Raw genomic sequence first — 23,636 nt, 5'->3', positions numbered from 1 at the left:
TTTTTGTATTTTTAGTAGAGATGGGGTTTCACCATGTTGGCAAGGCTGGTCTTGAACTCCTGACCTTAAGTCATCTGCCCGCCTCGGCCTCCCAAAGTGCTGGGATTACAGGTATGAGCCACTGCGCCCGGCCACCTTGCCTAATTTGAATGTCCTGGCATGCAAATTCATATTTAAACTCTGGACGGAAATGCTCGAACCACCGGGCAGTGAGGGTTTGACTGGGCTCACTCATGCTGTGGAGGTGTGCTGAAGCCCACACCAGTCAGGAGAGAATGGAGTCCCTTATGCCCCATGTATAAGCATGGTAGTCCTTGACCTGTTTGAGTCCAGGACCCCAAGCCTTGCAACAAGGGCCTATTCTCCACCCAGTGTGGACTGCTATGCTGGCTCACCTCCCTAATGAGAACCTGTGTACTTATTATTTGCACAATGATTGATGAAGATTCTCTACCTCTGTAATGCCAATTTCCGTATAAACAGGTTTCTTTCCCTCCAAAGAAACATGTCTATATTCTAAGCTAAAAGTTCTACATTAATTCCCTAAATTTTATGGATTAGGAGGGTGAGTTTTCTTACTCTCGTACTCTACCCCGTAGAATCTTTACTACCCAGACAAATTTCAGAATGAATTTATAAGGAGACACCAATGGAGAGAAAACCTTTATTTGCATAACAACAAACATGGGTGAAGTAAGAAGAGGCATATGAAAACAAGATTAAGGTGGAAGAATCCTTGGTGGGAGGAGAGGAGGAGAAAGCAGAGGCACTCTTGTAGCCATAAACGCATTTCCTTGTTGGCATCTGGACTGCTCCCTCCTCATGCTCCACTGAGACTTCTCTTTGCTTGGCTCATAGTCTCACTGCTGGCCCTGCTTCCTTGTCTCACAGTCCCAGAGTGCTCCCTCCCCAAACCCGATGGAGGAGCGCAGCTTCATACCCTATTGTGTGGGACAGCAGCTACTCAGAAGGTGTTACTTGGATTTTTTGCAGCTGTTAGTGATTCTGACACCCTTGGACCTCCAGGAGTAGCTCCTCCTGCCACGAGAGGACTCTGGCTTTTCTAATAAGGAAGGTTCTGGCCAATCAGTCCAAGAAAGGCCCGGATTCTCTTCCAAGGTGTTGTCTCTGCAGAAATGTTCCTCAGGGTGGAAGGTGCTGCTGCAGCAAGGGATGTCCCCTGAGTTTTCAGGTATGTAGTCTGGTGAGAGAAAGGCAGGAGAGGAAAACTCAAGCCTCTGCTTCTCCCAGGCACAGGTCCTTAAGCTCCTCTCTAGCTACTTTCCTTCCAAAGTCAAAGGCACCAACTATTAATCCCCCTCTGGTGGGATGTCTTCCTCCTTTCCCAGGCACCACAAGTCCCTACAGCCCCCTCCTTGCTCTGAGGCCGGCCCATCCCTCCAGCCTCACCTGTGGCTGCAGCAGGTGAACACTCCTCACACTCCCATTTCTTACTGTTAGATCTAAGAGAGGAGCAGTCCCTGTGGGTTCCGTGGGATCCGCATGTAGCACACAGAATGAGGCACCACCTCCTAGAGGAAGAGCCCAGGAAGGGTTGTGGAGACATACAGAACACCAACTGCCATGCTTGGATGTTTGCTATGGGCCAGGCATTTTTTACAGCACATTTTACCCAAGATGAATGTATGGCTCAGAGAGGATGAGTGCTGATCCCAGAAGCCTGCCATCAGTCGTAACCCCTTGAAAGGTAGATTAGGAAAGGAATTGGCTCTGAATGTCTCTCCACTGGGCACAAGGTGAAGCGGACCTTGCAGGGGAGACGTGTTCACGTGCACACAAGTGAGTCGGGCTGGTCAAGAATGAGACTTAGCAATCGTGTTTATCCTAAGGTCTGCATACAAGAGTGAATTTCTTACTTCTAATAACTGTGCCAAGGTCTAACTCTAAGATAGCACTGATGAGAGCTCTTTCTAGCCAGAAGCCTTCCCCTACCCTTCATCCTCAAAGCTGTCTCTGCCTTGTTCATACAGACAGATGGGGGCATCACAGTGCTGATAGCGCTGATATAAGTCTGAGAAAGCCCCTGGCTCGAGTTCCCAGGCAGCATCTCTGCAGTGGGAGAAGAAACAGTGAATAAGAACATAATGGGTTGGTGAAACTTTTGTCCATCAGGGAGGAGTTAGGAAGAGCCCAAGCTAAGCACAGCAAGAGTTCAGTAGGCTGCCTGAACACTTCCAACAAGGCTGGCCAAGTGGCCTGGCAGTGGGAGAGGGTTGAAGCAGGATGAATGGAACATGCATGCAGGTTCCTTAGTTCCACTCTGGAATCCAATAACTCAACCCCCCAGGGAATTCTGATTCCCCAAATGCCCTTTTCAGCAACAAGCACCCCATTCCCCCGCAAACTTCTTCCCCCTCCCTTCTGTTTTGATAATTGAAAAGCACTCCCTCCTCCCCTTCCTTCTTATCAGTGCCTCTGCTGCTCTCATTCTCTGAACTATCCTCTCACTCACCTCCTCTCTAGAAATCTAGGCAACCCACTCCCTGGCTCAGTTCCTGCTTTGGGGTTCCCACTACCTGTCTGGAATATGAATTCCCATTCTCAGCATTTCTTGAGGAAACTCTTTTCGATTGTTACACTGTGGACATTTGAAGAAATGCTTTGCTGATGTGTGGGCATATTTCTGTAAGAGAAACAGGGAAGAGCTCTGTGTTTGTAAAAACCCTTTGACTACCTTCTTTCTCCTCCCACCCTCACCCCTACAAAGAGGATGTTGCTAAGAGAGTTTGAGGGTACAGGAAAAGGAGTTTGGGTGGGCTAGGGTGAGGGCTGCAAATCCAGGTGTCAGACCTGGGACCAAAATACTTTCAAGAGAATTCCCAGGAGTGCCTCAGCTGTCATCTCTGACCATGGGGCTCGGCAGTACTGAGTAGGGGTCAGCCACCTGGATACATGTTTCCCTTTTCTTTCATCCCAGGAAGTGAGGCTGACATAGAGGCTTCTCAGCTCATTCTGGGATGAGCCCATTTGCTCTAGCAATGCTGAAGATTTTGCTTATTCTAAATCTTATCATGTGTGAGGTCCTATAGGCCAGGAATGACCACAGACTGGACTGACTTTCCTCTAACTGCCTGAAACCAGCCCTCAATACAGGCCTCCAGCATGGAGCACCAAAGCTGAGGCACACCTGAGCATTCCCAGGGTTCTCTGGTTCCAGGCAGAGAACTAGGGCAATGGTGGAAGGGACCCAGGGCGGAAAAAGCCCCACCTGTATGCACTTGCGGTGGTAGATGGCTTGACTACAACACGGGCTCTGGATGTTCTCAACACTCTGTTGGGATAAGTCTTCACAACATAAGATGCAGCTTTCCTCCCCCACATGCCCATGTTGGATGTTCTGTGTTGGGCGATGTTTGTCACAAAATGATCTGTGGCAGGTAAACAGACTTGGTTTCTGGTTTGTCATTGATGTAGTTTCCCAATGGCCCGCTCTAGGAGGGGCAGCCAGCCACCCAGGCTGGTGCCCAGTGAACCTCCACACATGGGGAAGAGGAGAGGCAGAGTGAAGAACTGCCACATGCCTTCTCACGGCTGCTCACCTACTGAGCAAAGTTCCCAGGACTGTCTCCATAGCCTCTCGTTCCTGAAAGCCCCACTTAGTGCTGAGCAGCTGTCTAAGAACCCCAGCTGTTTGTAATTTAAGGAGGGGTCAGGAAGCAAGAAGAACCCCCTGTGAAATCTCCAAGTCAAGACACTGTTTCTTATTACTGAATGGAGGGACAGATTCACTGGTGAATCAAAACAGGCCTGCTTGTGAGAACTGGACTCTGATTTCATTAGTGGCTGAATAATAAGTTGCAAAAAGGAAGCCAGACTTTTCCCTTCCCTCACTCACTTGTACTCTCCAAAAAATTGTGAAAGGCAACCCCTTTCTTGGCCACAAGGCAGATGGAAGTTTCTGAGGCACTGATCCTTCTGGCAGTTGATAGCAGCTCCCTTTTTCTTGCACACAAAGCAGATCTGCAAATGAGTTCCCAGACAGTGCTCAGGACCCCAAGAAATGCAAACACACACAGTGTAGCACATCTTTCTATTAAATGGAAGTTTTGTGAAATAATAGCCATTCCCTATCTTCAGTGGTCCTGAATGCTCTGGGGCACCCGGAAGCTGAGCTTCAAGCAGCACTGAGTTCTTTCCTATTTTCTCAAGATGTTTCTCCCTCTTCTCACTTAGGACACCCATACCCCAGAGGAATATGGGACTTAAGGACTAGTTGGAAAATCCAAGAGTCCTTTGACATCTAAACTAGGAAGTAGGGAAGAGAACAGAAACAGGAATGATGGGTGAGGTATGAAAAGAGGCCTACCCCAAGGTCCTCATTTCAAGAGATTCTAACCTTCCTAGAAGCCCGGGCTGCCTCCTTTTTGATGTCTTCAGGCAGAAATCCATGGAAGCCTCTGTTGGACTGGCCCCTCTGAGGCAGCTTACTAGATAAGATCTGCGGGGGCAGTAGAACCAGGCTGTTAACAATGATGATCAGTGAAACAGTGCAGTGAGGTGAGGAGAAGGACAGGGTAAGAGAGCTAAAGAATAGAGCTTGGGCCGGGTGTGGTGGCTCATGCCTGTAATCCCGGCACTTTGGGAGGCCGAGGCGGGCGGATCACGAGGTCAGGAGATGGAGACCATCCTGGCTAACACGGTGAAACCCCATCTCTACTAAAAATACAAAAAAATTAGCCGGGTGTGGTGGCACGCACCTGTAGTCCCAGCTACTCAGGAGGCTGAGGCAGGAGAATGGCGTGAACCCGAGAGGGTGGAGCTTGCAGTGAGCCGAGATCGTGCCACTGCACTCCAGCCTGGGCCACAGAACAAGACTCTGTCTCAAAAAAGAAAAAAAAAAAGAACAGAGCTTGGTGGAATATATATGCATTGACAGGGTAATTTATTTAATGAAGGCTTACATGGCACCAACCATGTGTTGAATACTCTAAGTGGTTTCAAATATTAACTCATTGAGTCCTCCCAACAGCCCTAGGAGGTAGGTACTATTATTGTCCTCATTTTATAGGAGAGATGATGCGACCTGCTCAAGGCCACAGAACTCTGGAACCTGGACTCTTACTTTTGCTCTAGGCTGCCTCTCACTTACTGAGGGCTGCTATTGTGTGCTGGGACTTTGGGGGAAACATTTCCTTTGTATTTACTCATTTTATGCTTACAATCCTTGGCCAGGCACGGTGGCTCACACCTGTAATCCTAGCACTTTGGGAAGCCGAGGAGGGCTGACCATCTGAGGTCAGGAGTTCGAGACCAGCCTGGCCAACATGGTGAAACCCTGTCTCTACTAAAAATACAAAAACTAGGGCATGGTGGTGCGCGCCTGTAATCCCAGCTACTCGGGAGGCTGAGGCAGGAGAATCGCTTGAACCCGGGAGGCGGAGGTTGAAGTGAGCCAAGATCAGGCCACTGCACTCTAGCCTGGGCGACAGAGCAAGACTCCGTCTCAAAAAAAAAAAAAAAAATTCCTGTAATGGCAGATGCTATTATGATGCTCATCTTACAGAGGAGGCCGCTGAGGTGCAGTGTGGCAAGTGACACTGCCTCCCAGGGTTATAGGACAAGGAGGAGCAGAGCTGGCTATTCACACCCAGGCCCATGGAATCCCCATTCTTACCCTTCCTGCTGCATCACCTCTTAGTACAGAGAAAATACTCTTCTCAGAGTAATACAGGAAGAAAAACAGGGTTTTAATATCTCTTGATTGTTGTTGTTCTGTATTATGGGGGAAGGAATTGAACTTTTGAAACACATATTTTAAAACTAATTATCTCAGGGCTTTGGGATGAGTGATTTGTTTTCTTCATATTTTTAAGTATCATTCATGTTTTCTGCAATAAGCATGTATTGATTTAATAAATTAGCTACTAAAAAGAAAAAACTATATCTATATGTTCTATACAGAAAGATTTCCAAAATATATATGATGGAAAAAAGCCAAGATACAAAGCACTCTGTATAATGTTTAATTTTTATGTAAAAAATGTATATGCTTGTAAATACATCAAAATTATAACTAAGCCCTGACACCTGATAGGACTTACAAGAAAGGAAAATCACAGACCAATCTTTCTCATGAGCACAGATATAAAAATCAAAACAGATGCAAACTGAATCCAGCACCATATAAAAAGGACAATACATCATGACCAAGTAGAGTTTATACCAAGAATGCAAGACTAGTTTAACATTAGAGCATTTAGTTGATGTAACAAACTACATTAACAAAATTAAAGAGAAAAATCAAGATAATCTCAATAAATACAGGAAAAGTGAGAAAATTCAACACCCATTCATGATACTCTGGGCAAACTATATATGAATAAAAGGGATCTTCAACCTGATAAAAACATCTATGAAAAAAACCTAGAGCTAACATACTTTAATAGTGAAAAACTAGATGCTGTCCCCTGATGTTGGGAACAAGACAAGGATAACAACTCACACCACTTCTATTCAATGTTAGGTTAAAGGTCCTAGCCAATACAACAAGGCAAGAAGAAATAAAAGGCAAAGATTGAGAGAAAGAAGTAGAACTGTCTTTATTCACACATGACATGGTTATGTGCATAGGGAATCCTGTAACAAGGCATTTACAACAAAATAAAAAAACAACTAATCAAACTCAATTTAACAAGATTACAGGATACAAATCAATATACAAAAATAAAATGCATTTCTATATACCAGCAATAAACTTAAAAATGAAATAAAAATACTATTTACAATAGCATAACCACAGAATATTTAGGAATACATTTAACAAAAGATGTACAAGACTTTGTCACCAAAACAACAAAACATTGCTGAGATATATTTTAAAAGACCCAAATAAGTGGAAAAATATACCATGTCCATGGATTGGAAGGTTCAATATTTTTTGTCAATTCTTCCCAAATTGACCTATAAATTCAATGCAATCCCAATCACAATCCCAGTAGACTTTTTTTTTAAAGAAAAATTGACAAGCTTAATATAAACTTTATAAAGAAAGGACCTGATAGTCAAAACAATCTTGGAAAAGATTGTAGAACTTAACAATACTGAATTTCAATATACTATAAAGCCACAATAATCAAGACAGTGGGGACTTGTGTAAGAATAGATACATAGATCAATGACATAAATAGATTATCCAGATCCACAGATATATGGTCAATTGATTTTGACAAAGGCACCAAGGCAATTCTATGGGTAGGTAAAGATTTCTTGCAACACACAAAAAGCACTGACCATAAAAGAAAAAAATGGATAAACTGGGCTCCATTACAATTACAAACTTGTTCTTTGAAAGACACCATTAAGAAAATGAAAAGGCAAGCCAAAGACTAGGAAGAAAATAGTCTCAATACATATATTTGAAAAAGAATTTGTATCTGAAATATATAAGCAATTCCTACAACTCAATAATAAAACCACTCAATTTTTTTTTTTTTTTTTTGAGACGGAGTCTTGCACTGTCGCCCAGGCTGGAGTGCAGTGGCGTGATCTCGGCTCACTGCAAGCTCCACTTCCTGGGTTCACGCCATTCTCCTGCCTCAGCCTCCCGAGTAGCTGGGACTACAGGCGCCTGCCACCATGCCCGGCTAATTTTTTTATTTTTAGTAGACACAGGGTTTCACCGTGTTAGCCAGGATGGTCTCCATCTCCTGACCTCTTGATCTGCTCGCCTCGGCCTCCCAAAGTTCTGGGATTACAGGCGTGAGCCACTGTGCCCGACCACCACTCAGTGTTTTTAAATGGGTAAAAATATTTGTACAGATACTTAACAAACGAAAATATGTGGGCCGGGCCAGGCGCGGTGGCTCACGCCTGTAATCCCAGCACTTTGGGAGGCCGAGGTGGGCAGATCACGAGGTCAAGAGATCGAGACCATCCTGGCTAACACGGTGAAACCCTGTCTCTACTAAAAATATAAAAATTAGCCATGCGTGGTGACAGGCACCTGTAGTCCCAGCTACTTGGGAGGCTGATGCAGGAGAATTGCTCCAACCCGGGAGGTGGAGGCTGCAGTGAGCCAAGATCATACCACTGCACTCCAGCCTGGGCGACAGAGCGAGACTCCATCTCAAAAAAAAAAAAAAACCAAAAAACCAAAGAAAATATGTGAATGGCCAATATGCACATGAAAAGAAGCTTTAGTCATCAGAAAAATGGAAATTAAAACGACAATGAAATACCAATACACACCCAGTAGAATGGCTAAAATTAAGAACACTGACAAAACAAAGTTCCGGCAAGAATACTGTGCAACTGGACTTCTTATAAATTGCTGGTAGGAGTGTAAGCTGGTACAACCGCTTTGGACAGTGATGTGGCAACCTCACATAAAGTTAAATATCTAATTAGCATACAACTAGTAATTCCACTTCTAGGCATCTGCACAAGAGAAGTGAAAGCACATGTTCACAAAGAGACTTGTACATGAATGCTTAAAGTAGCTTTATTCATAATAGTCCTCAAATGGAAACAATTCAGATGTTCATCAACAGGTGAACAGATAAGCAAATAGTAACTTATTCATGCAACCGAATACTACCAAGTAATAAAAAGGCACAAGCTATGAATGCATGCAACAACATGGATGAATCTCCAAAACACTGTGTTGGGAGAAAAAAGCCAGATACAGAAGATTATAAACTATATGATTTCACTTATATGAAGTAAAAGAATAGCCAAAAATAATCCATAGATCAGAACAGTGATTACGTCTAGTGGGATTGACTGGAAAAGGAGGCAGGAGGGAACTTTCTGGGGTGATGAAAATATTACCTATTTTGATTGGGGTGGTGGTTATTTGGGGACATACATTTATCAAAACTTATCAAACTGGACCCTTAAAATTAGTGAATTTTGTTCAAGACCAGCCTGGCTAACACGGTGAAACCTGTCTCTACTAAAAATACAAAATTAGCCAGGCATGGTGGTAGGTGTCTGTAATCCCAGCTACTTGGGAGGCTGAGGCAGGAGAATCACTTGAACCAGGGAGGCAGAGGTTGCAGTGAGCCGGGATCACGCCACTGCACTCTAGCCTGGGCAAGAGAGTGAGACTCCGTTCTCAAAAAAAGAAAAAAATTGGTGATTTTTACAGTATGAAAGTTATACCTAATAAAAAAATACTGGGAAAAAGCAATTGGAAGGATGTTACAACTTTGACAGCATTTGTTTCTGGGGAGAGGGAGAAGGATTGGGAACATTGTTTAGGGAAGAGACTTTTTTACTGAACTTACTTTATACTGTCAAGATTTTATACCAGACACATATATTTTTCTTTTTTTGAGGCAAGGTCTTCCTCTGTCACCCAGGCTGGAGTGTGGTGGTGTGATCACTGCTCACTGCAGCCTCCACCTCCAGGGTTCAAGCGATCCTCTTGCCTTAGCCTCCGGAGTGGCATTTGTCACTATACCCAGCTTTTTTTTTTTTTTTTTTAATTTTTTTGTAGAGACAAGGTTGCCCAGGCTGGTCTTGAACTCCTGGGTTCAAGAGATCCTCCTGCCTCGGCCTCCCAGAGTGCTGGGATTACAGGCGTGAGCCACTGCACCCAGCCTAAAAATAGATTTTAAAACAAAAAAGCTATTAAGAAAAATAAAAAAACAAGGCTGTGGATATGAGGATGAATGTAACAGAGAACAGTCAGTACACCAAAAGCCATAGGATATTCAAAGCAAAGGAGGCCTCATACTCACAAGACAGAAATAATGCACGCTGATATTGTCTTTCTGAAGAAATTCCCCTAATTTTTCGGGATCCCCAGGTTCTCGAAGGCATAGCCAGCAAACTGGAAGAGAGGACACCCAGAATTTGGCTCAAATTGACCATTAAGAATGGAAGAGAAGGGTGAGAATGTAACCATTCCTCTAAGTCAGGAAGGAGTAGAATACTAGGAAAAGGGTCATTTTGGCAAGGAGGAAGGTTGGGATGAGGTCTTATGTGGTATCAATTAGTCTGTCACATAATTCTGGTTACAATGAAAAAGTTGGCCACAACTGCTCACTTCATTTTTTTTTGGTTTTGTTTTGTTCTAAAGTGACTTTAATAACTTGTTTCTTGAACTTCAGACATGGTAATTTAAAATGGCAGTTCCTGAGTCCTCAAGATCTTAGAGAATCTAGGAAGGAAGTAGGGCTGGGAGAGAGAGAAGAAGCAAGTATACTGCCCCACACAGGTGGCCTTCTTTGCTGAGGGCTGGAGGCAGTGGGCGAACACAAGCTCCAGTCTTTCTTACCAGGCCCTGAAGACGGTTTCCTCTGGGTTACCCTCCTAGTCTTGGCAGATTTTCTATACAAGAGAAATAAGAAGCACAAGGTGTTCTTTGGGGATCTTGTTGATAACCTTTTTAACATTTCTCTTAAAATGCCATTCATGGGTCTGATGAAGGACCAACATATCTAAAGCCTAAGACATCAGCTTCTTTTCATATTTCACATATATATGTTTTTGAGACAGAGTCTTGCTCTGTTGCCCAGGCTGGAGGGCAGTGGTGCGATCTCAGCTTACTGCAACCTCTGCCTCCTGGGTTCAAGCAATTCTCCTGCCTCAGCCTCCCGAGGAGCTGGGATTACAGGCGCCTGTCACCACGCCCAGCTAATTTCTATATTTTTAGTAGAGACGGGGTTTCACCATGTTGGCCAGGCTGGTCTTGAACTCCTGACCTCAGGTGATCCACCCGCCTCGGCCTCCCAAAGTGCTGACATTACAGGCATGAGCCACTGCACCTGGCCATATTTCATATTTTTTTTAAGTGCAAAACATACTCACTGAGTTATTTGAGGGCAGGAACCGGATTGTAAGCATCTTTCTCTCCCCAGTGCCTGTACTGCCTATGTTGACTGAATGAATGCAAGAGCAAACCCTCTTTTACTTTTTTACTGCTTCTTCTGCCAACTACTCTGAATCTCAGGTGGTACCACCTTTACAAAGCATACTGAAATGAACCAAAATTGATAAAAGTATTTCCTGTTGCGAGGCACTATTCTTGGCACTTTACATGTATTGGCTCAATTAATCTACAGTAGCTCAATGAATCTACAGAACACTCTAAAAAGTACATGCCATTATTATGTACATTTTCCAGATGAGGAAACTGAGGCATAAAGAAATGTAGTGCCTTCTGTCACAGTTATTGGCAAGTGGCAGAGCTAGGATATGAATTTGGGTAGTAAGGTTCCAGAGTCAGCACTTTGCTACTAGGGACAGCACTGGTAAGACAGGTATGACAGCTCCCAGCTCCGTGTGTGCTTCCACACTGTCCAACCTCAACCCCCAAGACTACGACAAAGGGGGCAAAAAGTGCAGCCTATACCACAGGCCATTGGACAATTTCTCCCAAATTCCCTATGTCAACTACTTCTACCTCAATCTCTGGCATTCCTTCTTTTCTTTTACAGTCTTCATTCGGTGCTGTCTCTCTCTCCTCTCTTGAATTCTTCTATACTATTGTGAGGACAATACAGGCTCTTCCAGCTATAAATATAAATGGGGTTTGGTAAGCAATTTAATTCTGTATTTGGTTATCAAGTTCCCCAGGGTCAAGGCAATGGTGCACTTCACCTCCCAACCCATGTGATGGAATAAAAGGGACTGTTCTAGGTACTTGACATGTGTTAACTCACAAACACGCCATGCAGTAGGTACCATTATTATCCCCATTTTCAAGATGGGGGACTGAGGCACAGAGAGGTTTAAGTATCCTGCCCAAGGTAAGAGTTAGTAAGTGATATAGATGGGATCTGAACTCAAGTAGCCTGGCTCCAGAGGCCAACACTAACTCTCATGTTATACTGCTATCACACAGTAGCAAAAGAACTTAGAACCATTACTTGACCTAGCTAAATGGTTGTTTCTTTGTGCCTACAAAAAAATACGTGAAGTAGCACTCAGGAAAAAAAGGCTCCTTTTGCACCTAAGTATGGGTGCCTTAATTCTACCCAGTGAAAGCTAGATAAGGTAGCTTTTTCCTAAGCAAAGGAGCCTGTGAGATTTGGGCTGCCTAAAAGCAAGAACTCCCTCTAGTGAGAGACAAGAGGTAACACTGACAAACACCCCCTAGGCTCTATCACTTTTTTTTTTTTTCAGACAGGGTCTCTCATTGTTGCCCAGGCTGGAGTGCAGTGGGTGAGTGCATGAAAGTGCCACTTTCCTAGGCTCAGATGATCTTCCTGACTCAGCCTCCCAAGTAGCTGGGACCACAGGTGCCATGCCACCGCACCAGCTAATTTTTTGTAGAGACAGGGTTTTGCCATGTTGCCCAGACTGGTCTTCAACTCCTGGGCTCCAGTGATCCTCCCGCCTCAGCCTCCCAAAGTGCTGGGATTACAGGCGTGAGCCACCAGGCCTGACCTCTCCTATCAATTCTTTTCACCTAGGCTCAGGTGGCCACTGAGATATGGTCTGTACCCAACCTTTGTCTCCATCTGAGCCGAGTACAATAGCCAAAAGTGCAGAAGGTACCTTGTCTCCTATTTCCAATGTCAGCCAACTCCGGCTGTTACCTGTTTTCATTAGTAAACAAACTGTAAAACAAATGTACAGTTTCACTGGTTAACGGGGAGATCCCTGAAAGTGAACGGGAACGAAAGAAAATCCACCGCTGTGAAGCAAGGACTGTCTAGTCAGGGGAGAGGAGAAGGACAGCATTTCTTAGAAGGAGGGCTGGGTGAATCAGGTCACTCCAGAGACACTCCAGTATCCATGGCCTCCGATCACGGCTGGAGATCGGGAATATCTTCAGGGACTTTAAACTATTCTGCATGAATAAGGACGACTGAGGAAATTACTGTTCAAGAAACCAAAGCCACCCTGCCCTCCCCTTCTTTGTGCTTGTTCTGTCTCCTCCTCTAACCCAGGAGTTGCAGAAGCAATGACATCTGATGGCTTCTTCCTTAAGGAAAACACTGGACAGGCTGGAAGAGGAGAGAGAAGGGCATGTCCTGACCTTGCTATTCCCACAGGGGTCCACGTGAGCGGACTGCGGAGCAGTTCCCAGTTACTGGGGCTACCCCGACCATCCAGCAATAGACATAAAACCTTGAAACTTCAGTTCTTTGCATCGCTGGGCCAAGACGTTCCTTGAGTAGGATTCTGTGCACACACTGCTAGTTACAAGACGTCACGATCTTCAAAACATCTGAGGGGTGGCTTTGCAAATGAGGCTTCCACAAGCTGCCAGGCAGTGGCTTCCTAACCCGGCGGACGCCCCTCGAAACGATTATCAAGTTGTTTCACTGGACAGGTGCTGGGTAAAAGCTTGTTGAGAAAATAAAAAATAAATAAACGTGTTCGACCCGCCGCCGCAAGAATGATTTATCTGTAAAATACGTGTCGGTGTGGTCACAACCGTTCCCCGGAGGTTAACAGCCGGAGAAGGGGCTTAAGGAGCATCCCGCGGATGCCAGACCAGGCTCATGTCGCGCCTGCCGGGCGGCCAGTGCAGGGCCGGGCCGAGGTCGCCTCCGCCGCTCCTCCTCGCGGTAGCTCACCGGCCGCCGCTCCCGGCCAGAGCCACCCTCCCAGCTGTCTGAGGGCGCCGCTGTACTGGAGCTTTAGTCGTTGACACAGGCCGTGGTAGCTACCTCCGGGCGGCCGCCCTGCGCGGTGACTGCGCCGGCGAAGACTGCGAGCGCGCAAACGGGGGTGGGTCACGCGGACTATGACCTTCGGGAATCGCGGCGACGCCTACCGTTAGTAGAAACCGACCGCTAACGGCCGCGCGCTAACGGCCGCGCGCCCCGCCCATCCCCTCCTCTCGCGCCTCAGCGCCCAACACCCGCCCCCGCCCCTTCCGTTCGCCGCCCCGCCCCGTCCCTCCTCTCCCACCATCCGCGCCCAGCCCCGCCCATCCCCGCCTTTTCCCCTAGCCTGCCCCGCCCCTCCTCTCGCCCCACCTGCGCCCAGCACTTCCCGGCCCCGCCTTTTCCCCTCGCCCGCTCCGCCCCTCCCCTCGCAGCACCCGGGCCTAGTACTGCCCGTCCCGCCCCTCCTCTCGAGCCTCAGCGCTCAGCATCGCCCGGACCCCCTCTTCCCTTCGCCCGCCTCGTCCCGACCCTCCCCTTCGCCCCCGTCCCGCCCCGCCCCTCCCCTTCGCCCCCGTCCCGTCCCGCCCCGCCCCTCCCCTTCGCCCCCGTCCCTCCCCTTCGCCCCCGTCCCTCCGCGCGTGCGCGTTCGCCTTCGAGCGCATGCCCGCATCTGCTGTCCGACAGGCGGAAGACGAGCCCAGAGGCGGAGCAGGGCCGTCGCGCCTTGGTGACGTCTGCCGCCGGCGCGGGCGGGTGACGCGACTGGGCCCGTTGTCTGTGTGTGGGACTGAGGGGCCCCGGGGGCGGTGGGGGCTCCCGGTGGGGGCAGCGGTGGGGAGGGAGGGCCTGGACATGGCGCTGAGGGGCCGCCCCGCGGGAAGATGAATAAGGGCTGGCTGGAGCTGGAGAGCGACCCAGGTGAGGAGGGGACCGGGAGGGCCAGGGGCTGGGGAGGCCGGATGGGCCCGGGACGCGCCTGCCTGACCATCACCCCCTCCTCTTGTCGCCCCACCCAGGCCTCTTCACCCTGCTCGTGGAAGATTTCGGTAAGAGCCTTTTCTCCCTGCCGGACCGGGGCTGTGGCGGCCCACCCCTGCGCCCTCACTCATCAGGGGCTGTCCTTCCCTACTGCTTTCCTTTCCTCATCGCAGGTGTCAAGGGGGTGCAAGTGGAGGAGATCTACGACCTTCAGAGCAAATGTCAGGGGTGAGTGGCTGTACACCAGGGCTGCCCCTTACACCCAGAGTGCTGGGGAAGGTCCCAGAGAACAGGGCCCCTTAGGGAAGACAGTGCCAGGAACCCTACGTTGTAAAATCTCACAGAAAGCAGCAGCCTTGCTCTCTGAGTGCCCGCTCCTGATCAAACTGATACTTTCTTTTCTCCCAAACTTTCCTTAGCGCTTCCCTTTTTGTAGCAGCCCCCTCCCCACCCCTAAGCATCCTTTGGTTCAGCTGCTTTCCTGGCCTTGCAGCGGGAAGACCCCGGTCACACAATGTCTTTTGTGCAGTTGTGTAATGTATTAATTTTAGTGTGCCCATGTGTCCTTGGCTTTAATCCTGACACAAAGTCATCCTGTATTGATTGGTTGGGGTGACAAGGCCCCTCCTGGGTGCCCACACTTAGAGTCTTTTCCCAGTGGTCCTGCAGAATAGATGTGTAAGAGAGTAGCAACAGTAGCAACCGTGACTGAACCAAGAAGTCTACTTTAATTTCCTGGAACAAAAGAGACTGGTGTGGGTGTTCATTTGCTTTCCTGACTGCATTGGGGCCCACAAGTGAGAAGGAGTGCCTCAGTTCCTCATCAGAGTTTTTGTTCTTGTCTTACTTTGTGTTCCTACCCTGTCCCATCCTTGGCCCTCAGTTCCAGCTTTTCTTCTCTTACCCAGAACTATAGACTTCATAAGGAGACTGGGTGGACTCCTGGAGCATCACAGTCAGAGGCTTATGCTTTGCTCTGCCTGTGGCAGGCCTTTGGTGTGTGAGGGCACAAGGCCACTTCAGACACAGTGTTGGGAAGAAGCCAGGGGAGAGGGGGGATCACAGCAAGGACACCTGAGTGATGACGCAGTGCAAAGGATTAATGGGAGAAAGAAGGGAATGCTGATTGTCTTCTCCCCTTTGGCTGATCTGGCTCTGCCCCTTACTTCCCCCAGCCCTGTATATGGATTTATCTTCCTGTTCAAATGGATCGAAGAGCGCCGGTCCCGGCGAAAGGTCTCTACCTTGGTGGATGATACGTCCGTGATTGATGATGATATTGTGAATAACATGTTCTTTGCCCACCAGGTCTGCTGGACTCTGTGCTTTGTTTGGAGGGTGGGATGCTGCCATGTTTTTGCTTGGGAAGTGGAAATGGAGGAAGACAGGAGGAGGAGATAGGCAGATTCTAGGGGTGGTAGCTACAGAAATCCTCTGGCAGAACGAACTGAACTCTTAATTCATTAAAGGGAACAGCTTTAGAGTAGGAGGGTGTCTGAGTCCACTCTCTGTGTCCTCAGATATCCAGTGGGTATTTGGTAGGTGCTTGTTAAATGAATAAACATTAGGCAAAGATGAAAGGAGCTGAGAAGGGGAGTTGTCCAGATATGACTGACCTGCTCTGGATCCCCATTCTTGATGTATATGGGCTTGGGGCTTGCAGTGAGGGGTGCTGTGTATGGGTGACTATTCTTGGTTTCACAGCTGATACCCAACTCTTGTGCAACTCATGCCTTGCTGAGCGTGCTCCTGAACTGCAGCAGCGTGGACCTGGGACCCACCCTGAGTCGCATGAAGGACTTCACCAAGGGTTTCAGCCCTGAGGTAGGCTGCAGTGCCTTCATCCTGGCTCACAGCCAACTGGGCAGATCTGACCCTGAGGGCCACTGGGAATGCTACCACATGATATTGGGTACTATTAGGCTGTTTCTTTTTCAAATGATTGTTTATGTTACATTTGACTCTTAAATAAATTGTGTAAGGCCATTGTTTTTAGATGCAGTTGCGGGGAAAGGACACAGGCCTAGGGAGGGAGGAGAGTTTCCTTAAGTCAGACCATGTCAGAACCTTCTCTGTCAGGACTTTTCCTCTCAGGCCATGTTGCTTCCTAGTGTCCACTAATTACCATGCAAGGCCAGCACAGTCCATCTCTTTGGGGCTCCAGAGCTCTTTTCTGCCCCCACCAGCCTTTTAAGAAAGTTCGTCTGTGTTCCTTCCGATTCCTGGAATGCCTCCAGGCTGCTCTCTGAAGCTTTGCCTTCCACCCATAGTCCTACCTGAGGAGAAATTATTCTGATACGGCCTTATTTTCTTCCCCGTAGAGCAAAGGATATGCGATTGGCAATGCCCCGGAGTTGGCCAAGGCCCATAATAGCCATGCCAGGTGTGTGGGAGCTGTGGGAGCTGATGTGGGGTGGGAGTAGGGGGAGTATCATTTTTTGGGCCCTGACTCTGTTTTTCCCCAGGCCCGAGCCACGCCACCTCCCTGAGAAGCAGAATGGCCTTAGTGCAGTGCGGACCATGGAGGCGTTCCACTTTGTCAGCTATGTGCCTATCACAGGCCGGCTCTTTGAGCTGGATGGGCTGAAGGTCTACCCCATTGACCATGGTAGGCACCATGAGCTGGAGGCCTGTTGGGTGTCTCTGCCTACCTCCTAGGGAGCTGGGGCTCAGGGCCCTCTGGTATGTGGTACCCAGTGGCAGGGGTTGTCGGTACCGACACCCGGCTCTGGCTGGGGTTTCACCCTACACCATATTGCCCGACCAGCTCCTGATTCCCTGGCTCAACTGCTCTTCTCTGTCTTCCTTCCCACTCCTGGCCTGCCCAAACTCAGGGTTTCCTTCTCGCTGATTCCTTGTCTTGGTCTCCACTAGGGCCCTGGGGGGAGGACGAGGAGTGGACAGACAAGGCCCGGCGGGTCATCATGGAGCGTATCGGCCTCGCCACTGCAGGGTAAGGGCCCTGTGCCTGCCCTGTTCTACTCTCTGGAGCTGTACCTACTTTGGGAGGGACAGAGAGTATCCAGGTGATTTGTAAATTGCAAGGCCATATGGTGAATCTGGCAAGATCAGGCTTAGATCATGGGTTCTCAACTTGTTGTCTTATTTCCTGCCTGGGCTGCCTGTGGCCTGCTCCTGGGTGGGCTGGGGGAGGGGCAGGCCTCAGTGGAGCCTTAGGCAGCCCAGGTCTGCTGGTTCACTTCCAGATAGGCCCCTCATACAGCTTGTTGGAAGGTACCAGCTCAGGTGCCTGGCATGTATGGCTAGTCGCTGCCTGCCTGTTGGGGTGGGGCCTATACCTACAGCTGCAGGTGTGACTGCAGGGAGCCCTGCCAGGATATCTGCCTCAACCTGATGGCGGGGCCGGGGCGGGAGCTGCTCTCACGGCTGCGGCTGTGACTGCAGGGAGCCCTACCACGACATCCGCTTCAACCTGATGGCAGTGGTGCCCGACCGCAGGATCAAGTATGAGGCCAGGCTGCATGTGCTGAAGGTGAACCGTCAGACAGTACTAGAGGCTCTGCAGCAGGTAGGTGCCCTTTCTTCCTGGCCTCTGCCCAGCCCAACCCTCCCTGCATTCCTCCTCCCTTCCCCCACAGCATTTGTCTCTGATTCGTGAACATACTCTCTTGTAGATCTGGGCTTCAGCTAACCACATCTTTTCTTTGCCCCCATTGTGGGAAAGGTGGGACTTGGAGTGGGGAGGGAGAATAGCTTCTAAAAGGAAGTTTGGGTTTGGGTGTTTTATTTCCCTGTGAGTGAATGGGTAGAGCCAAGGCCATTATTCCTTTAGGTCCTCAGCCCTTAGCTATTTAAGGTAGAAGCCCGGGTCTACCCTTTCTCCTCTGAGCCCTGGATTCTGTTGTTAGCTGATAAGAGTAACACAGCCAGAGCTGATTCAGACCCACAAGTCTCAAGAGTCACAGCTGCCTGAGGAGTCCAAGTCAGCCAGCAACAAGTCCCCGCTGGTGCTGGAAGCAAACAGGGCCCCTGCAGCCTCTGAGGGCAACCACACAGGTACTGGGGGGTTTGGGACCTCTTGTGGACCTCAGAGCCACCCGCTAATGTCTGACATGGGAGGCCTAAACAGGGAAAGTCTTTTTCTGGGGATGTCCTTGGGCAGTGTTCTTCCCCCGTCAGAAGGTAGAGGGAGAGCAGTCCTTCCCTAAAGAAAGGCACCTGTAAAGGGCCGCTGTTACCACAGGCCCCTGGGCCCTTCTCTGTAATGTACACTCCCTTTCTTGTTTTCTCTAGAGGCGGTTTTTTTTTTTTTTTTTTTTTTTTTTTTTCTTCCTGCTTCTTTTTTCCCATCTCATTCTTTGCCCTGTCTCATTGCGGGATCATGACTTAGAGCTTGCTGACTCCCATTGCACCAGCTGGCTGGGCTGTTCTTCTCTGGGAAGTGCTGGTTCACAGGGCCGGGGAGACTGTGAGCTTTTCTTGGAGATCCTACTGGAGGTCCTGCCTGTGTTCTTGCCCTGTCTCAGATGGTGCAGAGGAGGCGGCTGGTTCATGCGCACAAGCCCCATCCCACAGCCCTCCCAACAAACCCAAGCTAGTGGTGAAGCCTCCAGGCAGCAGCCTCAATGGGGTTCACCCCAACCCCACTCCCATTGTCCAGCGGCTGCCGGCCTTTCTAGACAATCACAATTATGCCAAGTCCCCCATGCAGGTAAGCTGGGAGCACCCTTGCAGGATTCTCTACTTGATTCTCTTGAGAGGCTGCAACAGGCAATTTTCCCATGTGGTTCCTTGGTGTTCATCCTTGGCATGGCTGGGTCAAGCTGCCTGGGCCTGGGTTGCTAGGTTCCTCTGCCTGATATGAAAAGGCCCCCACAACAGCAGGAGCTTAGGGAGGCAGGGAGAGCTCCTTTGAATTTAATCTAGTTACGTGGCTGTGGGATTAAATGTTTAGGTCACGCTCCTTGGTACAACTTCATGGGTTGGGTTTTACTGGCAAAATAAAGGCATGTGTTTCAGGGCACTCTGTTTCTCTTAAAACCCCTCCGTGGGGTTCTATCCAGTGTAAGTGGGTGGCAGCCTCCCCACAAGCCAAGGACAGGCCATGGAACAGCTGGAGGGGTTCCGCTGACTCAGTCTGGAAAACCATGTTGGCTTTCTCTCTGGCTGTGAGTGTCTAGGCTCAGCCTGGGCCGAGCAGCACTTGTTTGTAACTGCCCTGGTCTTTGTCCCAGGAGGAAGAAGACCTGGCGGCAGGTGTGGGCCGCAGCCGAGTTCCAGTCCGCCCACCCCAGCAGTACTCAGATGATGAGGATGACTATGAGGATGACGAGGAGGATGACGTGCAGAACACCAACTCTGCCCTTAGGTCAGCCCAGCTTTCTAAGGCTACCAGGTTCTAGGTGCTTCGGATCCCATCCTGAATATCTCAGTCTGTGTCTGAGAATGCCCTGCAGCAGATAATGTTGAGCACCTGCGGAGTTTGGGGCCCTGGGGGAGGCTGGCATGATGGGGCTGACCCCAGGTCCCCAGGAAGTTTTTGGTGGGCTGGGGGGTAAGGCTGAGCACGTAAGCTTATATCATGTCCTATTGGAAGTGGCCTTTTAGCCAGGCCTTGAAGGATTGGTTGGGGCAGGGATGGAGGAGATGTGGGTGGTGGGGAGGCAGCTTTGCTGGAACACAGGGCATTGGCAAAAGGCCAGGAGTGGGATGGCTGGAATAGAGGAAGTGTCTTTTGAGGACACTTGGCTGCAGCTGTCAGAACTTGATGCCAGGCTTAGCATGGCTAGTTCAAGTTGCTTGGACCAAGTATAAGGAGTTTTAGGGTCAGCCCCTGGAGGTCGGGATGTATTTAAGCCATTCTGGGTACTGCTGGGTATGGTCACCTGGCCCGTTCCCTTGCTTCACATCTTCTCGGGCCCCACAGGTATAAGGGGAAGGGAACAGGGAAGCCAGGGGCATTGAGCGGTTCTGCTGATGGGCAACTGTCAGTGCTGCAGCCCAACACCATCAACGTCTTGGCTGAGAAGCTCAAAGAGTCCCAGAAGGACCTCTCAATTCCTCTGTCCATCAAGACTAGCAGCGGGGCTGGGAGTCCGGCTGTGGCAGTGCCCACACACTCGCAGCCCTCACCCACCCCCAGCAATGAGAGTACAGACACGGCCTCTGAGATCGGCAGTGCTTTCAACTCGCCACTGCGCTCGCCTATCCGCTCAGCCAACCCGACGCGGCCCTCCAGCCCTGTCACCTCCCACATCTCCAAGGTGCTTTTTGGAGAGGATGACAGCCTGCTGCGTGTTGACTGCATACGCTACAACCGTGCTGTCCGTGATCTGGGTCCTGTCATCAGCACAGGCCTGCTGCACCTGGCTGAGGATGGGGTGCTGAGTCCCCTGGCGCTGACAGGTGGGCCTTGGACTGGCTCACTGGCCACTTGGTGCACCCAGGAGGGAGGAGGGAAGTGGCCAAGTGACCACAAAGTGTCCTGCACTCTGATGATTTTCTTGTGACCTCTCTTCCCAGAGGGTGGGAAGGGTTCCTCGCCCTCCATCAGACCAATCCAAGGCAGCCAGGGGTCCAGCAGCCCAGTGGAGAAGGAGGTCGTGGAAGCCACGGACAGCAGAGAGAAGACGGGGATGGTGAGGCCTGGCGAGCCCTTGAGTGGGGAGAAATACTCACCCAAGGTGAGCCTCCGTTGTGGTTTTCTCCTTTAATCCTGGCAGAGGGTAAGGCCTGAGCTCCTCCTGCCCAGGTGCCAAGTTCTTGATTGGAACTTTGGTGTGAAGATTGGTGGCTGGAGCCATGTGCCAGAAGACTTTCTGGGTTGGGTGGTGGCAGGGGCCTTGATAGGCATGGACTCGCTGCTCATCCTTGCCTCTAGCTGCCTATTGCTCGTGGGGCTTTGTTGCTGGCCCGCCCCGATCAGAGGTGCAATGCTGGGTTTTGGCAGGAGCTGCTGGCACTGCTGAAGTGTGTGGAGGCTGAGATTGCAAACTATGAGGCGTGCCTCAAGGAGGAGGTAGAGAAGAGGAAGAAGTTCAAGGTGGGTGATTTCTCCAGTTGCCTGATCTGGCCTCTCCCGAGGTCCACTGGTGGCTGCTCTGGCAAGATTGGCTCCAGTGCTCTCAGTCTTCTTCTCTCCTACAGATTGATGACCAGAGAAGGACCCACAACTACGATGAGTTCATCTGCACCTTTATCTCCATGCTGGCTCAGGAAGGTGAGGGGATGCGCTGCTGTCTTAACTGGAATGCCCTGCTGAGGGCCGTGTCCTTCAGCTCCCCTCCCCTGGCCTCTCCTGAGGCTTGAGCAGACCTTGGGGCACAGGGAGGGCCATGAGAGCCTCAGCTCCTGGCCTGAGGCAGCCAGCACCTGCTCAAGGGTCTCTACCTCTTCGCAGGCATGCTGGCCAACCTAGTGGAGCAGAACATCTCCGTGCGGCGGCGCCAAGGGGTCAGCATCGGCCGGCTCCACAAGCAGCGGAAGCCTGACCGGCGGAAACGCTCTCGCCCCTACAAGGCCAAGCGCCAGTGAGGACTGCTGGCCCTGACTCTGCAGCCCACTCTTGCCGTGTGGCCCTCACCAGGGTCCTTCCCTGCCCCACTTCCCCTTTTCCCAGTATTACTGAATAGTCCCAGCTGGAGAGTCCAGGCCCTGGGAATGGGAGGAACCAGGCCACATTCCTTCCATCGTGCCCTGAGGCCTGACACGGCAGATCAGCCCCATAGTGCTCAGGAGGCAGCATCTGGAGTTGGGGCACAGCGAGGTACTGCAGCTTCCTCCACAGCCGGCTGTGGAGCAGCAGGACCTGGCCCTTCTGCCTGGGCAGCAGAATATATATTTTACCTATCAGAGACATCTATTTTTCTGGGCTCCAACCCAACATGCCACCATGTTGACATAAGTTCCTACCTGACTATGCTTTCTCTCCTAGGAGCTGTCCTGGTGGGCCCAGGTCCTTGTATCATGCCACGGTCCCAACTACAGGGTCCTAGCTGGGGGCCTGGGTGGGCCCTGGGCTCTGGGCCCTGCTGCTCTAGCCCCAGCCACCAGCCTGTCCCTGTTGTAAGGAAGCCAGGTCTTCTCTCTTCATTCCTCTTAGGAGAGTGCCAAACTCAGGGACCCAGCACTGGGCTGGGTTGGGAGTAGGGTGTCCCAGTGGGGTTGGGGTGAGCAGGCTGCTGGGATCCCATGGCCTGAGCAGAGCATGTGGGAACTGTTCAGTGGCCTGTGAACTGTCTTCCTTGTTCTAGCCAGGCTGTTCAAGACTGCTCTCCATAGCAAGGTTCTAGGGCTCTTCGCCTTCAGTGTTGTGGCCCTAGCTATGGGCCTAAATTGGGCTCTAGGTCTCTGTCCCTGGCGCTTGAGGCTCAGAAGAGCCTCTGTCCAGCCCCTCAGTATTACCATGTCTCCCTCTCAGGGGTAGCAGAGACAGGGTTGCTTATAGGAAGCTGGCACCACTCAGCTCTTCCTGCTACTCCAGTTTCCTCAGCCTCTGCAAGGCACTCAGGGTGGGGGACAGCAGGATCAAGACAACCCGTTGGAGCCCCTGTGTTCCAGAGGACCTGATGCCAAGGGGTAATGGGCCCAGCAGTGCCTCTGGAGCCCAGGCCCCAACACAGCCCCATGGCCTCTGCCAGATGGCTTTGAAAAAGGTGATCCAAGCAGGCCCCTTTATCTGTACATAGTGACTGAGTGGGGGGTGCTGGCAAGTGTGGCAGCTGCCTCTGGGCTGAGCACAGCTTGACCCCTCTAGCCCCTGTAAATACTGGATCAATGAATGAATAAAACTCTCCTAAGAATCTCCTGAGAAATGAACCCTCCTGTGGTTGCTGGCCTGAGATATGGAGGCTGGGCCTTACTAGACCTCATGGGCCTAGGGCCCTGGGACCAGAAAGGTAAGAAGTATATGATCCTTGAGTGTCCAGCTGTCTTGGGCCAGAGATCCTTGGAATCCTAGGCCTGGGATTTAGGACCTGAGCTGAGGAGGGACTTCAGGTGGACTGTAGACAGGGTGCACTTTCTGGGGAGAGGGCCATGGCTTTCACCAAATCTGTGGCTTTGCAGCCTGGAGAGGTGCTGGGACTGTGGGTCAAAGAGGCGGGGCTGCCTCTAATCTAATCTCGCCTGGTGTGTTCTCCCTGGGAGGGCGCTGGGCATCTCTTC

General features: G+C 50.2%; 2 protein-coding genes across 15 annotated transcripts, besides 7 other annotated features; one reads left to right on the top strand and one right to left on the bottom strand.

Moving 5' to 3' along the window:
- Nucleotides 1-650: 650 nt before the first annotated feature.
- On the bottom strand, nucleotides 651-13,632 carry PHF7 (PHD finger protein 7). Of its 8 annotated transcripts, none has more exons than XM_024453589.2 (11): nucleotides 12,469-13,632; nucleotides 11,372-11,481; nucleotides 10,244-10,296; nucleotides 9,705-9,796; nucleotides 4,358-4,459; nucleotides 3,857-3,981; nucleotides 3,230-3,389; nucleotides 2,538-2,644; nucleotides 1,954-2,070; nucleotides 1,411-1,532; nucleotides 651-1,201 (listed from the first exon to the last, which is right to left on the bottom strand). In XM_024453589.2, exons 2-11 carry the CDS (start codon nucleotides 11,410-11,412, stop codon nucleotides 975-977), a joined length of 1,146 nt encoding a protein of 381 aa, XP_024309357.1. In that variant the 5' UTR covers nucleotides 11,413-11,481; nucleotides 12,469-13,632; the 3' UTR covers nucleotides 651-974. The 8 variants fall into 8 exon arrangements, with proteins under 8 accessions (XP_024309357.1, NP_001308056.1, NP_057567.3 ...); NM_001321127.2 differs by having other exon boundaries at nucleotides 12,953-13,632; NM_016483.7 differs by having other exon boundaries at nucleotides 13,045-13,632.
- Nucleotides 11,872-11,921: an enhancer, noted in NCBI's record as "active region_19941". NCBI's record gives its function as "activates an Ori minimal core promoter by ATAC-STARR-seq in GM12878 lymphoblastoid cells {active_cell/tissue: GM12878}" and the evidence as "EXISTENCE:reporter gene assay evidence [ECO:0000049][PMID:35858748]".
- Nucleotides 13,418-13,517: a silencer, noted in NCBI's record as "silent region_14443". NCBI's record gives its function as "represses an Ori minimal core promoter by ATAC-STARR-seq in GM12878 lymphoblastoid cells {active_cell/tissue: GM12878}" and the evidence as "EXISTENCE:reporter gene assay evidence [ECO:0000049][PMID:35858748]".
- Nucleotides 13,618-14,147: a silencer, noted in NCBI's record as "silent region_14442". NCBI's record gives its function as "represses an Ori minimal core promoter by ATAC-STARR-seq in GM12878 lymphoblastoid cells {active_cell/tissue: GM12878}" and the evidence as "EXISTENCE:reporter gene assay evidence [ECO:0000049][PMID:35858748]".
- Nucleotides 13,618-14,615: a biological region, named in NCBI's record as "H3K27ac hESC enhancer GRCh37_chr3:52443693-52444241".
- Nucleotides 14,067-14,615: an enhancer, noted in NCBI's record as "H3K27ac hESC enhancer chr3:52443693-52444241 (GRCh37/hg19 assembly coordinates)". NCBI's record gives its function as "activates a minimal SCP1, AML or CMV promoter by ChIP-STARR-seq in primed H9 embryonic stem cells {active_cell/tissue: H9 hESC(primed)}" and the evidence as "EXISTENCE:reporter gene assay evidence [ECO:0000049][PMID:30033119]".
- On the top strand, nucleotides 14,284-23,284 carry BAP1 (BRCA1 associated deubiquitinase 1). Of its 7 annotated transcripts, none has more exons than XM_047449044.1 (17): nucleotides 14,284-14,450; nucleotides 14,549-14,578; nucleotides 14,684-14,738; nucleotides 15,686-15,818; nucleotides 16,215-16,334; nucleotides 16,832-16,893; nucleotides 16,976-17,118; nucleotides 17,385-17,463; nucleotides 17,970-18,039; nucleotides 18,380-18,527; nucleotides 18,998-19,182; nucleotides 19,706-19,839; nucleotides 20,398-20,876; nucleotides 20,994-21,109; nucleotides 21,421-21,513; nucleotides 21,618-21,690; nucleotides 21,871-23,284. In XM_047449044.1, the coding sequence occupies exons 1-17, from the start codon at nucleotides 14,414-14,416 to the stop codon at nucleotides 22,002-22,004; spliced, it is 2,091 nt and encodes a 696-aa protein (XP_047305000.1). In that variant the 5' UTR covers nucleotides 14,284-14,413; the 3' UTR covers nucleotides 22,005-23,284. The 7 variants fall into 7 exon arrangements, with proteins under 7 accessions (XP_047305000.1, NP_001397701.1, XP_011532453.1 ...); NM_001410772.1 differs by having other exon boundaries at nucleotides 20,994-21,154; XM_011534151.4 differs by having other exon boundaries at nucleotides 20,994-21,154; nucleotides 21,352-21,513.
- Nucleotides 14,328-14,467: a silencer, noted in NCBI's record as "silent region_14441". NCBI's record gives its function as "represses an Ori minimal core promoter by ATAC-STARR-seq in GM12878 lymphoblastoid cells {active_cell/tissue: GM12878}" and the evidence as "EXISTENCE:reporter gene assay evidence [ECO:0000049][PMID:35858748]".
- Nucleotides 14,616-15,164: an enhancer, noted in NCBI's record as "H3K27ac hESC enhancer chr3:52443144-52443692 (GRCh37/hg19 assembly coordinates)". NCBI's record gives its function as "activates a minimal SCP1, AML or CMV promoter by ChIP-STARR-seq in primed H9 embryonic stem cells {active_cell/tissue: H9 hESC(primed)}" and the evidence as "EXISTENCE:reporter gene assay evidence [ECO:0000049][PMID:30033119]".

The sequence above is a fragment of the Homo sapiens genome, chromosome 3 (genome assembly GCF_000001405.40).
Source record: "Homo sapiens chromosome 3, GRCh38.p14 Primary Assembly".
Lineage (NCBI taxonomy): Eukaryota > Metazoa > Chordata > Mammalia > Primates > Hominidae > Homo > Homo sapiens.
Note: the sequence above shows the minus strand (reverse complement) of the source record. Positions and strands in the feature narration are given on the sequence as shown.